At 48.7% G+C, this 15,276-nt stretch overlaps 1 protein-coding gene and 1 long non-coding RNA gene across 2 annotated transcripts in view; one reads left to right on the forward strand and one right to left on the reverse strand.

Annotated features, from left to right (window-relative positions):
- Window positions 1–15,276, reverse strand: part of LRFN2 (leucine rich repeat and fibronectin type III domain containing 2) — a 195,774-nt gene that overhangs the window by 132,381 nt on the left and 48,117 nt on the right. The gene's annotated exons all lie outside the window — the stretch shown is intronic.
- Window positions 23–5,418, forward strand: LOC105375051 (uncharacterized). The gene is made up of 3 exons (XR_007059918.1): window positions 23–376; window positions 1,745–1,888; window positions 5,102–5,418. It is a non-coding gene; the product is annotated as an uncharacterized LOC105375051 (long non-coding RNA).

Below are 15,276 nucleotides of genomic sequence, written 5' to 3' on the forward strand. Positions count from 1 at the left end.
GGGCAGGGGGAGGGGCTGGGAAGGGCAGGGGGAGGGGCTGGGGAGGCCAGCCCAAGCTGCATGGCACTTCCCAGCAGTTGCAGGAAAATTAAATGTGGTTTTCCTCATCATCGTGAACAACAGGGGTACAGGAAAACTGGGGGATAATGTCCCCATTAGCCTGTTTTCTTAGCACACAGAGGGAGAGATTTTAAAAATAAAATAAAACTACATCCCAATTTGATGCCCTAACCTACCAAAACAAAACACATGCAGATTTTAAAATGTAGAAAAATCCCATCAGAGTCAATTCAGTTATCCCCCTGCCTCTAACAGGTGTCCCATAACCAGGACAGATCACCTGGATGCCTGCCTGCCCTGATAACTGATGTTGAAGGTCAGCCACCTCCCCCTACCCTGACTTACTGCTTCCCCACCCCCGACCCGCCACACCTCTAACACACACTGACACATACTGACACACACACACTCTCTCACTCACACACACACCCCTGCAGCCCTCATCTCTTGTCTCTCTTGGGCTGTGAAGTAAATAAAGCTTGGCCTCTGGGGTCCCATTTTTGTACCTTTTCCATCTTTCTTGGAGGCCTGGCTCACGCAGGCAGGGGGCCGAGGCGCTCCTTCTCACTCACTCTGTTGGCAACCCAACCAGCCTTTAAACTGTGTCTTTTCATGTATAACAAAAGACCTTTCTTTTTGTCTTTAAAGGAACTTGGGGGGCCAAAGGGATGGTGGTCAATATGCCCAGGAGAGAGGGGCCCTCCAGGTGCCCTGAAATCAGGCCATGACAGAAGCTTATAGAAAACTGGATCCTAATAGTAACAACTCATTCTTATCCTGAACCTCCACCCCCTGACCTCCAACCCTTGCCTCAGGAAACTGAGTCAGGGGTCAGTGATTCTAGAAGCTCCATACCCTGCTCCTTTATTTCCTGTTAGAAAGAACCACTAGGGCATCGTGGCAAAGGTAATGAGCTTGGAGTAAGGAGAACTCGGTTCTAGTCTTGGCACTGAAGCTACATTGCTGTGTGACTTTAGGAGAGTCACTTCCCCTCTCTGAACTTCAGCTCATCATCTATAAAATACAAAGTGGGCATAGATGGATTTGAAGATTTTCCAGTCCTGGCCACCTCATTTCTGATTCTGTGACAAGGCAGTGTCCCCACCTGGCCCTGGCTCTGCTGTCCCCCTCTGGGGCCATGCTGGTGATTCCAGGAGGGGAGCAGGACACAGGAGCATTCCATAGGCCACTCCCTTGCTCGCCCCTGGCTGGAGCAGTCTCAGAAATCACCCCAGAAAGCAAGGGCGGCCCTGCTGCAGGCTGGCTCTACTAGGCAAATTACAGCCTCTCAAGGGTGCATATGACAAATGACAACTAAATGGTTTGCTTTCCCTATGCAAATGAAGCTGCCAATTTACATTCATTTGCACCTGATGGGTGCCTGAAATGGATGGATTTGATTTGTGCCTGATCTGTAAGTGTCTAATTTATTAATCAATGAAACGTCATGTACAGACTTGAGGATCCCCAGTTCCAGCCGGCCTCCCATATATATGTAAATAATGCAATCTCTCAATCTACTTGTTATGTAAATGTTAATATAAAACTGACAGAAATATGCATCTGCAGAACTTTATGAGCAAAGAGAACTGAGATTTACACATGCTCCGAGCCCACCCTTTGCCCCTCAGTTCCTGTGGTGCCTCCTTCCTCTTGCCATACTTTCTTCTTACTTTCCCCTTAGGTCAGTTGACCCATCTCACCTCCTCCAGGAAGCCTCGCTGCTCCAGCCCTCCCACACTGCCAGGCCTCCAACCACCAGCCCTGGCTCTTACAACCTGGACAATCTTGCTTTTTTCTGGCCCTGGAACTTTGCCCGCAAGACCACGTAAGACACAGTCTTCCCCCAAGTTCTCCCCTTTCCATTTCTGTGCTGAAATGAACCCCCCTCAGAGGGCCAGCTACACGTCACCATCTTTAGCAAATACACACTGAACACGAAGGCACGAGATCGGTGCTGGGAAGAGGGAGAGAGAAAAGGTTCCTGTTCTCAAGATTTTCCTGGTTTAATAGCAGTAGTGTTTTCTCGGCTATGTGCAGGGCACAGTTCTGAGCACTGCTTATGGGCTGACTGCGTAATTTGCACAATAATCTCTGCAACAAGAGTGCTACTGCTGTCCCCATTCCACAGAAGACAAAAACAAGGCTTCTTTTATCAGCTAGCAGAACCGGGGTTGAATCCAGCCAGCGTGCTCCGCAGCTAGTCACAACACTACAGTTTGGCCTTTACCCAGTGAGCAAAAAGGTCATTTCAAGCAATGGTGTGTGTATGCGTCACCATTCCAAGTGCCAAATTCAGTCTCTTCTATAGTTTTCCTTGAAGAGGCCACAGAACAAACCTTAGCAAAGACAGAAAATGACAACTTTTGCCTCCTCCCAGTTCTGATCTGCCCTGTACTGGTTTCCTAGCTTATGCTCCCAGGAAGGCGTGACCTTACCTGGATCTTGTGAATGAGTACCTGTCTTTAGCACACCAGTTCTCCACACCTGCATGACGTTCTCTCCCCTGCCCTGGAGCTCTGGGGGTTCCACCATGGCAGCATTCTCCATATCTGACTCCCACTCTCTGTCCACTGTGAGGGCTAGGCCAGCTCTTCCCCAAGAGCTCAGCAATGTGCCCAGCACTCTGCAGACCTGTGTGGCCAGTGGGTGGCTTCCTTTTGGATGTGGCCATCCGGTCCCTCCCCACTCAAACTCCTCCTGCATCTCTTGTCCCTGCACACCCACCACCTCATTAACCCAAGCCTCAGGAACCACCCTTAGCCCACATTTTAAGATGAAAAGTTTGAGATCTGGGGAAGTGAAGCCAAGCTCACAGCATCACATACCTGGGAGACGGTGCAGCCAGATTCAAAGCCAGGTCTGCCTGGCTCCTGGGATCATTCCTTTGGGCAGGACTGATCATTGCCTGAACTGGGTGACCTCAAAGGGACTGAGTAGGACTAAAAGGTTGCACTGAGGGCATAAATATGGATTTGTCATCAGGATCTCAGTGAGACAAGGCCGTAACTCCAATGTGGCTAAGGGAAGGGCCCCTAAATGTGAGACCAGTGATATCGAATAGCAGCATTTCTAGAAATTCCTTTGGAAGAGTGGCATTTCACTCATCCTTGAAAGTAAAATGGAAATTGATCTTCTTTGCACTGGAGAGCTATTTTCCAGAAGCTACCTGAAGGAAGGCCTAGAGCTGCAGACAGCCTGAGCCTCCTCTTCCAGGGCCTTCTCTAACAATGCATTCCAGGACAGCCAAAGTCATGCCAGAGAAAGAAAAATGAAAAGGGACAAGGCAAGGACTAATGTTCAATGATGCTTACTCTGCACCAGGGGCTTGGTAGATTTTATTTTATTCAATTGACCCTGTAGCCTATGATGTGACATACACAGTGAGACAAGATATTTACCTAAAGCTACACAGACAGCAAGGGGTCGGACCAGAATTTCAGTTCAGATCTTTCTGACCACAAAACCTGGATTCTTTCTAGGACCTCAAAGTCTCCAGTCATGGAAGGAAGAGACCTGGAGCCACTGTAGATGATATGTCAGCCTGAAATATAAGAAGGAAGCTAGATTTTAAATCATTGAGAAAGAGAGCCAATATACACTTGGCTAAAGATAGAGTGATTATGTGAGTGATTAAGGAGAAAGGTACCATAGTATATTTGACCAGGGCTTGAAAATCATATGACATAAATTATTTTACTCATTAATGATCAGTTAATGATGCTGTTTTTAAAATAATTAAAGCAAGAGCACCTTAAGGCATTTGAAACTACGTGCTTATGTTCTAAATTTGGGGCCAAGTTCAGTTTGTAGTTTGGGTCATATAGAGGAGACAGAGGAACCTCCTGCTGCCAGACATAACAATAATCATAGCTATAATAGCTATTATCATATGTGTTACTAACTGAAAATGTCTTAAACACACAAACTCATGTAATCCTACAAAGTGACTGTTATTATTCCCATTTATGGAGGAGAAAATGGAGTCTCAGAGAGGTTAAGTAAACTGCCCAAGGTCACACCGCTGATTAAGGCCAGAGTGGGAATTCAAACCCAGGTTTCTTCCGCCAGAGTTTAAACACTTAACACCTACAGCATATCCTAGTTTTTACAAAAGAGCTATCTTAAAGCTTCAATTTTCTGTTGTCAACCTTTGAACTCTAACAAGGTTAAAATCACATGTCCTCCCTAACTCCAGCCCTTTGTCCCCACTGGCGGCCTGCCGAAGTGGAGCTGCATAGCTGGGTGAGGGCAACCAGACTGAACACAGGAATGCCTGGATTCTCAGACACTGTAGATGCCCATGGGAAGAGGGAGCACTCAACAGAGTCGCTCAATGAGAGGCACACCTTCTCCCAGCTCTTTAACATGAGGAGGAGGCTGAACCAGCTGACCCTAAAGCCCTCCAGTGCTTAGGTCCTGATGCCTCTGGCCTGCCCTGCCACGGCTGTCCTTGTGGAGCTAAGGTGGACCCTCTTAGCTAAGGGAGTCAAAGTGGAGGGAGTCAAAGCCAGTGACTCGGCTCCTTCCATAGGCTAAGGGCTCCAGGCTCAGACTAATACAGATGCTTTTTGACTTCCGATGAGGTTACATAAGTTGAATGTTTACAATACTTTCAACTTACGATGGGTTTAGGTTTTTCTGGACATCACTAGATCATAAGTCTAGGAGTGTACTGAATGCTAATTGCCTTCGCATCATTGTAAAGTCAGAAATCCTAAGTTGAAACATCCTAAGTTGGGGACTGTCTATATTCCTTCTTTCTCCCTTTCTAGGGCACAGAGGATATTCTGGGCTTTCTGATCTTCACCCCGGGTCCCCATGGATTCTCCAAGAAGCCTTTTAGATTGGTTGCTCCAACTAGTCCCACTGCTAGCCCCATTCCTGCCACCCCAGGACACATTCTGGGCTCAGTTTATTTACACGTTTGGGGAAGGCACTGCCTGGGTGGCTCCTGCTTCTCTAGCAGGCAGGGGCTCCCCACAGACTCACACACACTAATTTGTCCTGATCCTCCCTATTGCCCTTTTCTATTTTCCAGGCCTCAGGGTGGAAAATGAAAGATGCTTAAGGTCACTGCCCCTCCTGTTCTGTACACAAGCCTAAGCTCGGGAGGAAATAATTTGAGGTATCTGGAAGAAGCAGAGAGAGCAGGGCAGCTCTGAAGTCACTGCGAGGCTGTGAGAGGTCAGCCAGCGCTTCAAAGGACCCCAGGACCTTTGCATAACCCTGGACTGAATGGGAAGGGAAAGTCCCAGTCATGACAGAAACGGAATTTCCCACCAACTCAGTAGGAGGTTTGGGGTTCAGGGTCAGTTTCATGGCAGTGCAAACAAAATAAAGAAAATGTGATATTTATTGCTTACTTAAATTTGTGGACCAAACTGCCTACCATGCTATCCACACTGTTTCCTGCAGGTGGTCAATGTGGGCTTAAGGGAAAAGTAACTCATCTTAATATTTGCTTAAATCAAATGGAATATAGAAAGTAAATAAATCTGCTGCCAAGCCATCAAGTAGGGCATTCTAAACCCAAAATAAAGAGCCTATGGACTGTCTGTGGATTTAGATTATGCATAGTTTTCTGCCACCACTCCCTGTATTCAAATCAATAGTCACATTTCATTGCAGACACTTGGAGCTGTCTGGGTTCAAATCCCAGCTCTGTTGCTTATTAGCTGAGACACTTCAGCCAAGGTACTGACACTCTCTGTGCCTCAATTTCCCCAGCCATTAAGTAGGAGTCATAATTGCATAACCCCCACAGGGTGGATGTGACAATTCAACCGGATCACAAAAGTGCATGCTCAGCCTAGTGCCTGGCACACTGTAAGGATCAATAAACAGGAGCTATTATTATTATGCTAATTTGAAGGATTCTTGTTTTTAAACGTCCTCATTTCACATTGCAGATACCCAAATAGAAACACAGATTTTCATTTGCTTACAAACCTTCCACTTTTCTCCAGCTAGAAGTTACAGGTGGCCCCTATGGGTGAATGTGTTAGGTAACACTCACACTTTAAGCAAGGGGAAATGCAGGCCCAGAGAGAGTCGTCGCAGAAGGAATGAAGCAGAGACAGACGCCCTCTCTTTGCAATGCCTGCTGTCTGTTCCACCCATCCTCTGGACTCTGTGCCACCCAAGCATACAGGCCTGCTCGGGGAAACCTCATTCTTCTCTACTTTCCCCTGTGGCTTAGAAAGATAGAAGGTGAAGTCTAACAGGGAAGAATGCTCTACATTCAGATCAGGGCAATCAATTGCACAGGCCTGGGATAGGAAAGTCTTGGCTCACACGCAGTTCCAGAAATGAACAAGGGCCCAAGTTATGGTAAGCGTGAATGGTGAGGTTCAGGATAGGAAAGAGTAACTGAATAGTAGCTCATTGAGACAGAAAAGACATGGAAGAAAGCCATAACAGCAGCAGTGGTGGTGATTGTCAAAATGACCATGCTTGGCCTCTCTGCAACATATGGCCCTGTTGGCCATGATCTCTATAACGCTCTGTTCTTCCTGAGTTTGTCCTCTCTCTGATCACCCCTTTCCCAACTTCCTCAGAGGATTGCCCCTCTGCTTGCCCCTGAACCCTGGTTCTCCCCAGGACCCGTCACCCCCAGCACCCATTGCTCTCTTCACTCTCCACACTCCACGTGGGGGACCTGCCCCCTGCTCCACAATGCCCGCTCTACTGATGGCCCTCAGTTCTATGCTTCTACCAGGCCTGGTCCAAGCTCCTCACACTCACTTCGGAGTGCCAAGTTCACACCTGCCCTTGACTGTCTAACAGGCACCTTGGCCTCATCCAAAGCAAATTCTTTGCTGCTTCATATGCTGCTTCTCCCTTTGCCTTCCTGGTCTGGGTAACTAACTGTCAACACTGTTTGCCTGTCTGCACCAAGCGACAATCCTTGGAGCCATTTTTGGAAGGGAGAAAGGGAACATTTAAAAAAGCATGTTTGTTGAAATACCAGATGCATCCAAAAAAGCATGCATATTATAAGCTCAATAAATTTGCACCAAATAAACAGACCATGTAACCAGCACTCAGATAGAGAAACAGAACAAAACTCATCCCTCATGCTCCTTCTGGTTGCTCCCCGAACTGGGCAACTGCTTTTCTGACTTCTAATACCACAGATAGGCCATCTGATTTGTAATTTACATAAATGGAATCCTACAATATTTAGTCTTTGATGCCTGGCTGTTTTCATATGTTCATGAGATTCTCAAAGAACATGCAACATAACTTTCGGTTGTTCATGACTGTTGCTGTGTAGTATTTATTGATGTGAGCACATCATGATTGACTGCTTGTCTCCATGGCTGATGAGCATTTCTGAGTCTCCAGTCCAGGCTATTATGAATGGTGCACTCTGAACGCCCAGGAACACATCTTGCCGGGGCATATGTTTACATTTCCTCTGTGTTTAGGAGGGTCACAAAGTATGCCTCAAGATAGCTGTAGTCAATTCTACCCAATGGTCTTCTGAGAGTGTCTGTCTCCCAGATCCTCCCTCCAGCAGTGGAGCAGAATTTCAGTTGCCCTTGGAGCTGTTTTTGATTCGTTGCCCCCTCCCTCCCTCTGCTAGCAGCATTTGTGGCTGTCTTATCTGTGTGCCAGTTTTTGTTTATGAGGCCGATTCCCATGGTCTTCAGTTCCTGCTGATTCTACTTATACAATAGTTTTTTTAATCCATAGCTTCTCCATCTCCACTACCACTGCCCCCTCCTTATCTTCTGTGTGAGCTGTCACATACAAATGTCCTTCCCTACAAGCCTGTATTGGCCACTGTTCCCTATTCTATCATCTACATTCCAGTAAGATGCCCTGACACAACCCATCAGTGCCACTTTCTGTCCAAGAACCCCACTAGCCCCTGGCACCTAAAGCAGTCTCCGTGCTGGGATCTGTGAACATCTTGGAGGCAAGGGCAATCTCCCGAGTCTCCATGCAGGAATTCTTCAGGTGTCCGCACAGTTCCTGCATATATGGAAGCTCAGTTTGCATTCTAACCCCACCTACCTTTCCAATCTCATCTCCTGAAGTTTGACTAGTGAACCCACACCAGGGACATCTGCACAGCACACAGCTGCAGGCTCTCTCAAGCCTTACCGTGGGCCCACTATGTATCAGGCAGTTGGAGCTGCCTTCCCCTTTGCCTGAAATTCTTTCTCCTGTGGAGACAGTTTTAGGCAGGTGGCAGTCTAGTCCTACTTGGGGTCATCATATCCCAGAGATGGCTAGAATGGACTTCCACACAGTATAGGAATATAATGGACCTAGTGGTCACACTCACCCATATAGTAATCACATGCCCCCTAATAGCTATTTGTTTTATATTTGTTCAATTTATATTTTACAAAACAATGTCATGTGCTTTATCTTTTGATACAATAGCCCTATGAGATATGTAGTGGGACACCATTATTCTCATTTCATAGATGAAGGCTCAGAGAAGTTAAGTCACCAACCCAAAGCCACACAGCCAGGAAGTGGCATAGTTGAAGATTAAATCCAAGTTGTCTGATGCAAAAACCATCCCACCTCCGCTGCCTCTGCCTGCCCTGCCTACGGAAATCCTGTACCTCCTCCAAGATGCCTCATCAGTTATTCCTTACAAAGCAGTTCCGGATTTCCCAGTCAGAATTAATTAATCTCTCCTCCGTGCACTTTTTCTGAACTTTTATTACAGTAATTATAACAGCCTGACTTTTATTATAATCATTATTTACATGTCTGCCTCTCCAACTGGGATGGGAGCTCATTAAGGGCGGAACCCTGTCAATTTTGTACCTTGAGCCCCCAGCAGGTGGGTACTGAACACAATACAATGATAATAACAGCAAGACAATAATGAAGGCCTCCAGCCTTCAGGCTTCATCACATCCGTAGCTTAGTTCACCTGGACTATGGGTCAAGTACCAAGAAGTGACAGGCTGCCTGTGGTTGTAAAAATGCAACGGCCAACTGTAAGGTGTTAAGTGGCACAGTGTTAAATTCCCACAGGATGAGAACGTTTCCCAGGGCTTCTTGGGGTGTCTTGGTGAACATTTACTTGTTTTACCCATTGAGTATTTTATTTTGTTTTGTTTTCTCTCTGTCTGTCTCTATGTCTCTGCCTCTGTCTCTGTCTCTCTGTCTCTCTGTCTCTCTTTCTCTCTCTGTCTCTTTTTCTCTATCTCTTTAGTCTTTTCTTTTTCTTTCCCTTGACTGGAAGAAATACAGAACCAAAATACATTTTCTATTACTTTATGTACCAATTGAATTTTTAAAAATCTGTTCCCTGCTCTAAAAAGTATATGAGTGGGATGTTTTCTACTTTACTCCTCTCTTGCTCAAAACACACACACACACACACACACACACACACACACACACACTTGAAAGAGAGAGAGAAAGAGAGAGAGGGAAAGACAGAGAGAGAATTCAATTTCTTTCAGGGACCCTCAAGTAGTCTTTTCTGACCATTACTGGCTATTGATTAAAACCAAAAAAAAAGCTCTCCTCCTACCTCTCACCCCCACCAAAGTGAGGTACAACTTCCTAGACTCAGTCAGGTCAGCTCGCCTGTACCAAATGCCCTGGGAAGCAGAGGCCAGAACATCCCTGCTTTGGACACAAAATAAAGGCAGAAGTAGCCCTTAGATGTGGGAACTTCACATCCTGATAGAGGAGACTTGACAAACAAGTATTGCACCCACAGAAAACTCCTGAGAAGCATGCTGTGGAGGAAAGGAGGGATTAAAAGCTCAGGTGGACCTAAGCACAGCCTGGACCAAGGAAAGAGAGGGAAGGTCTCTACCTGTGGCCACACTGCAAGGTGGAGGCTGGAGCAGCGTGGCATCATTACAGTTAATGATACCACACTGGCGTGATGAAGGGCCAAGTGTGCCAAATTCACCGGACACTCGGAATTCCTCAGGCATTGCTCCAAGTTCTTCACATGGACTAGCCATTTAATTCTCATGTCATAGGCACTGTTACAACTTCCCTTCCACTTTCTACATGAGAAAACTTAGGGACAGAGAGACTAAGTAGCTTGCCCACAGGGACACAGCTGGTCAGTGGTGGACCAGGCAGTCTGAACGGCAGAGCCTGTTCTCTGAACCACTTTCGAACATTCCAGGGGGCCAGGAACACTGAGACCCAGTGTTAGCTCTGCCAGCAGCTATGTGACCAGTCACTTCTGCTAGGTCTCCATCCTCTCACTGTGAGATGGGCTCAATGAACTAGACGAGTTGTTCTCACGTTTTGGGGGTCATGGACTCTTATGAGAAATGGTGAAAGCTCCCCCAAGGAAAATGTGAATTGCACATTTTCATGGAAATGTCCATGTAACACAAGAGGGCTCCCCAGACCCTGAGACCCCCCCACTCCCCCCAACTGCTGATCCATGGACTAGCAACTCTATGGAGAGTTCAAATAGTAGCTTTGGCAGTACCTGGCTCTGCAACGGCAGGCGGACAAGATCTGTGCAGGCTCTGAAGTCAGCTCTATGGCCCTGGACAAATATGGAACTGTCCTGTGCTTCAGTTTCCCCTCTGGAAAATGGACCTCATAATAACAATATTTCATAAAGATTTTATGAGACTTGGCTGAGAAAATACACACAGTGAGCTCAGGATGGTGCCTGACACATATCAGGTATTGCTATTATTATTGTTGGCGCTCATTCCTCACCTTCCTTCTAGGGTCATCACTCTCCCCAGGTCTCTGGGCCCAGTCTTTGGGCAAGGTGACCCATAGCCTGTGGTCTAGAACAGGGGACCTCTTGGCCAAGACCAAGACAGATACCACTTACTGAGCACTTCCTAAATGCCAGGTGCCCCGCGCCCATCTTAGAAAATCCCTAGGCAATGAGTACCAGGATCTCATTTCACAGATGAGGCGCCTGAGGCTCAGAAAGCTGGAACCAGCTGGAACCACTTGCCCCCAGGCCCATGATATAGTGGCAGAGCTGGGACTTGGACTGAGATCTTTCTGACTACAAAGCCCAGGCTTTTAATCACCACTCTAGTTTACCTTCCTTGGGCAGCTGCAGGTCGAGCCTTGGGTCTTGGAGTCATCCCAGAAAGCAAGATAAGGTCAAGAAGAGAGAGTTTCTATAGCATGGGAAGCCTCAGTGGCTGCCACCTTGTTATGGGATCATAAACCTGTGATCCCTCTGGGTCTCAGCCACCTCGCCTGCCTGTCAAATGAGATGATGAAAGGGAATGCCCTTTGGGAGGCATTCTGAGCATTTACAACCAGGCTTCATGATGATTACCATCATTATCATGACTATTATGATTGCTCATCCTGAGTTAGGCAGGCAGCTGTGTCCTGAATGCCTGGGGAGAGCTTAGAGCAGCCTGGAACCTAGGCTGTGACCAGGACCCAGAATTCCAAAGAGAAGGGAAGGGTGGGGTATGGACTGTCCCTGCCATTGCCTTGGTGTTCCTTGGGGGTGGTTGGAAACCCGCCTGGGGTCAGGAGACATCCCCACTGCAGCCTGTTGGAAAATGGCTTTGACATGACCCCATTAACCACCACTTACCTCTCCTCCCCATCCAGACACATCCTTGGCCGGGGGTGGGACTATGAGCCAGGCACCCTCCTCCTGCCCTCCAGCTGACCCAGGTTGATCTGTCTGTTAACTGCTTAGCTGCACAGTCTACATTGGTGGGAGGTGCAGGTGGGGAGGAAGGAGAACAGGAAGGGGTGCAGGCCCCACATTTGCTGACAATGCACTGAGACTCTTATTATGCCCATCTCATCACTGTTCTCAGAGTGTTTTGAGTGAGTGTAGAGAACCCAGGTCAGCCAAAGCTTCCTTTGATGTGCACAATGCAGAGAAAAAATAATTCGATTAGGGAAAGGGGACAGTAAGAAAGACAAGGAGAAGGAGGTCACCTGGTATTGCAGCTGGCTCAGCGATGCAGAAGCCAATGGGTCCAGCCTGAGTGAGAATGTTAGAAAGACACTGTGCAGGCCCAGTATGGAGTCAGGTGGGGAGATGGAAATAAAGAAGTTCATGGTCAATGGCCAGCTGCATGTGACCAGTCACCGGAGGTTCTGCTTCAAGCAGAGGCAGAGCAGGAGACCCGGAAAGGCTCAGAGGCTCCTGCCTGAGGGGTGAGGCCTGGGCAAACCTCGAGGAGAGAGCCAGGTGCTCCAGCAGCTCCCAGGGTGAGTGGGGGGCCGGTTCTGTCCACAGGGAGCCCCAGTCTGAGGGGAGACACAGCCCTGCCTCAGGGAGCCCCACTCTGAGGGAGACACAGCCCCGTCCTCAGGGAGCCCCAGTCTGAATGGGAAGAAATAATCCCTACTTTCTAGGTACTTCTAGTCTGAGAGAAGAGTCAAAGTCACTGCCTTCCTGGAACCGAACCCAGAACATGTATTACACACATGTTAACTATTCCCCAAGGTCACAGTGTGACTTAACAGAATGACAGCAAATGAAGGTCTGAAATTTCCTTAGCTGCCTTGAGTTAGAAAAATGAAAAGAATCAGTGAAGGGACTGAAGGGCCTGGGACTACAGTGGAGACAAAGCAGGGAACATGGGAAATGAGGAGCCTGTTTTGGACCACAACCACTAGGAGGTGCAGCTGGAGGAACTCAGGACCCGTCCCGCAGAGTGCTGGGAGAGCTTGCCTGCAGGGACTCCATGCAGGGTACAGCCTCCACCAAGGAACCTGAAGCCCTGCCCCTCAAAGCTCAGGAGCCAGAGAAGAATTGCCAGACAGAGGGCAGCTCAGAATCTGCAGATCAGAGGGTGTGGAGCCTCCAAGACCTTGAGCCTTATCTCCTGGCCCCTGGCGAAGGCACCCCTGGAGGATAATCATGGATGCAGTCACCACTCTTCATCTAAAGGTGCCATTTGTCAAGTGCTTTCCATGTACCAGTCACTGTTTTCAGGCTTTACACCTCCAAGCTTTCTTAAACCTCACCACAACACAATGAGATAGGGTTATTATTATTCCTGTCTTCAAGGTAAGGAAACTGAGGCACGGAGGGTTGACATACCCTGCCAAAGGTTATGGAGCTAGTACACGGCAGAGCTGGATTTTGATCCAGGGGATCTGGTGCAGTGGTTATCCATTCTCTACGTAATTGTTTCCAGGGACGGGGAGCTCACTCCCTAAAAGGACTGTGATTGCCAGAATAGCTTCCAGCATAGTCCGCAGCACCCAGCAGAGGCTCATCACCCTAGATGTGTAAGGCCCATGGGGGCAGGAACCCCAATACTGGGAATAGTTCCTGGCACATCGTAGGCCCTCAGGAATATTTGCAGAATGAATGTTCTTCCAGTAGAAACATTTCCTAGGCACATATCCCCTCACTCCCAGGGCCACAACCAGGGAAAGGCCACAGGTTCTGCGTGTGCCCCCACCAGTCACAACCAACCATAACCAGCACCAGCCCCAACTATGGAAACCCAAGGCAGGAAATTTCCAAGAAGAAGTATCAGGGGAACTGAGCGGGCTGCTGTGAGAGAGCTGAATCCAAGGCCCACTTCAACTGCCTCTTCAACGCTTCTCCAGGAAGCGTCCCTGACCACTCTGACCCTTGTCTGATACCTACCATCTTTGCCTCTCCTCTGGTCCTGAGCCAAACCTAATGAGACTTGTTCCTGTCTGTGGGGGTGGCTTACCTCCCCACCAGACCACAAGCTCCACTGTCGGGGCAGAGACCTGGCATTATGCTGCTCTCCAGTCCCCACAGCCTCGGTGTCCAGTTAGGGACTAAGGGGACTCCCTCAGTGTTAAAGCTGGATGGACATCAGAGGGCCTAGGGTGGAGGGAGGGGACATATGAGGGAGGGGCTAAGCACAGGACCCCTCCCAGCCCCTTTAATGCTCCAGCTGCAATCAGGAGATCCCAGGCACACTAGAGATTGAAGGGAGCAGGGAACATGGGAAATGAGGAGCATGGCCCATGCAGCCCCTCTTGCCCCATCACCTTTCCTGTGGCTCCAGCTTCAGCTTGTTCAGGTCTGAAGACTAAGGAGGGACAACACCCCCGGGACCCTCCCACAATCACCAACGCTCGCCTTGGAACGCTAAGGCAGAGGCTGCCTCTTCCAGGTCTCTCTTTGCTATTCTGAGAAAGGGTAAAGGGAGAAACAATTATTTGTTTCATTAGGAGTTAAATCTCATGAACCCTAGGCATTCAACACTGTGGGGAGGGGCAGGAAGTGAGGGGGCTACCTGGGAAGAGGGGAGAGAAGGAGGAAGATTGGGGCTCGGCGGAGTGATGGGAAGCCCCAGAGCCAACAGGCTTCCCCTACTCCCGGGCCTCCAGCTGTGTAGCAGCCCCCCTTCTCCAGGGCCCCCTGCCACCCACTACCTTCCCTCTGACAGCTCATTCCAGAGGTGGAAGCCACCCCCACCCCAGCTCAGGATTCCTGCACCCCAACATGAATTATCAGAAACACAATGGGTCCAATTACACTGAGAGACTGGCTGGCTTAAGAAGAGAAATCCTCGCATCCAAGGCCCTCTTTCTCTTTGTTCTGCAACAACAAATTGGCCACTATATTGTCCTTGCTGCGCAAGATCCTCATCAGAAAACCCCAACCACCATAAACCCCAATCATTCCCTGCTTTCCAAATTACAGCTTTCTACTGGCACCTCCCCGGGGCTATCCCCATTCCCAGCTTCTCCTCCTAGACTCTCACACGTGTGTCTGACGCAGGGCGTCCTCTCAGCGCAGCCCCTCTCCACCTGCCCCCGGTCTCAGATATGCCCGTTGTGTGTCAGGTCCAGGACTGGGGCTGGGGGGAAGGAGGGCAGTGAGTCCTGCGAGCACAGTGTCAGATTCTGTCTTTTTGTGCTCATCAGAAATGTTTGCATTAATTTGTATTTTTAGAAATATTGCATTAAAAGATGATTTTTTCCATGGCCTAGTGTTGTGGTACCCTCTTGAATGTTGCACCCCAGGTATTCACCTCACCCTGTTCTGGTCTTTTCACACCCTCATGGGTGGAAGTCTGGGCTGTGTCCAGGTTCCTCCCTCTCTAAGACAGAGGACAGCTAACAGCCCATTCCTCACTCCATCTTCTACCCTCTCAGCCCCAAAACCATCCCCATCCCCCTCCTTGAGAATAAGACCCACCTCCCACCCACCCCAACTACCTGGCCTCACCTCTGCAGGGCCAGACCTCAGAGGGCAGAGGCTAAGGAACAGCTGTTAGCCACGGATATCTGGAGCCTTCCTAAACAGAGCCTTGA

The sequence above is a fragment of the Homo sapiens genome, chromosome 6 (assembly GCF_000001405.40).
Source record: "Homo sapiens chromosome 6, GRCh38.p14 Primary Assembly".
NCBI classification, from domain to species: Eukaryota; Metazoa; Chordata; class Mammalia; order Primates; family Hominidae; genus Homo; species Homo sapiens.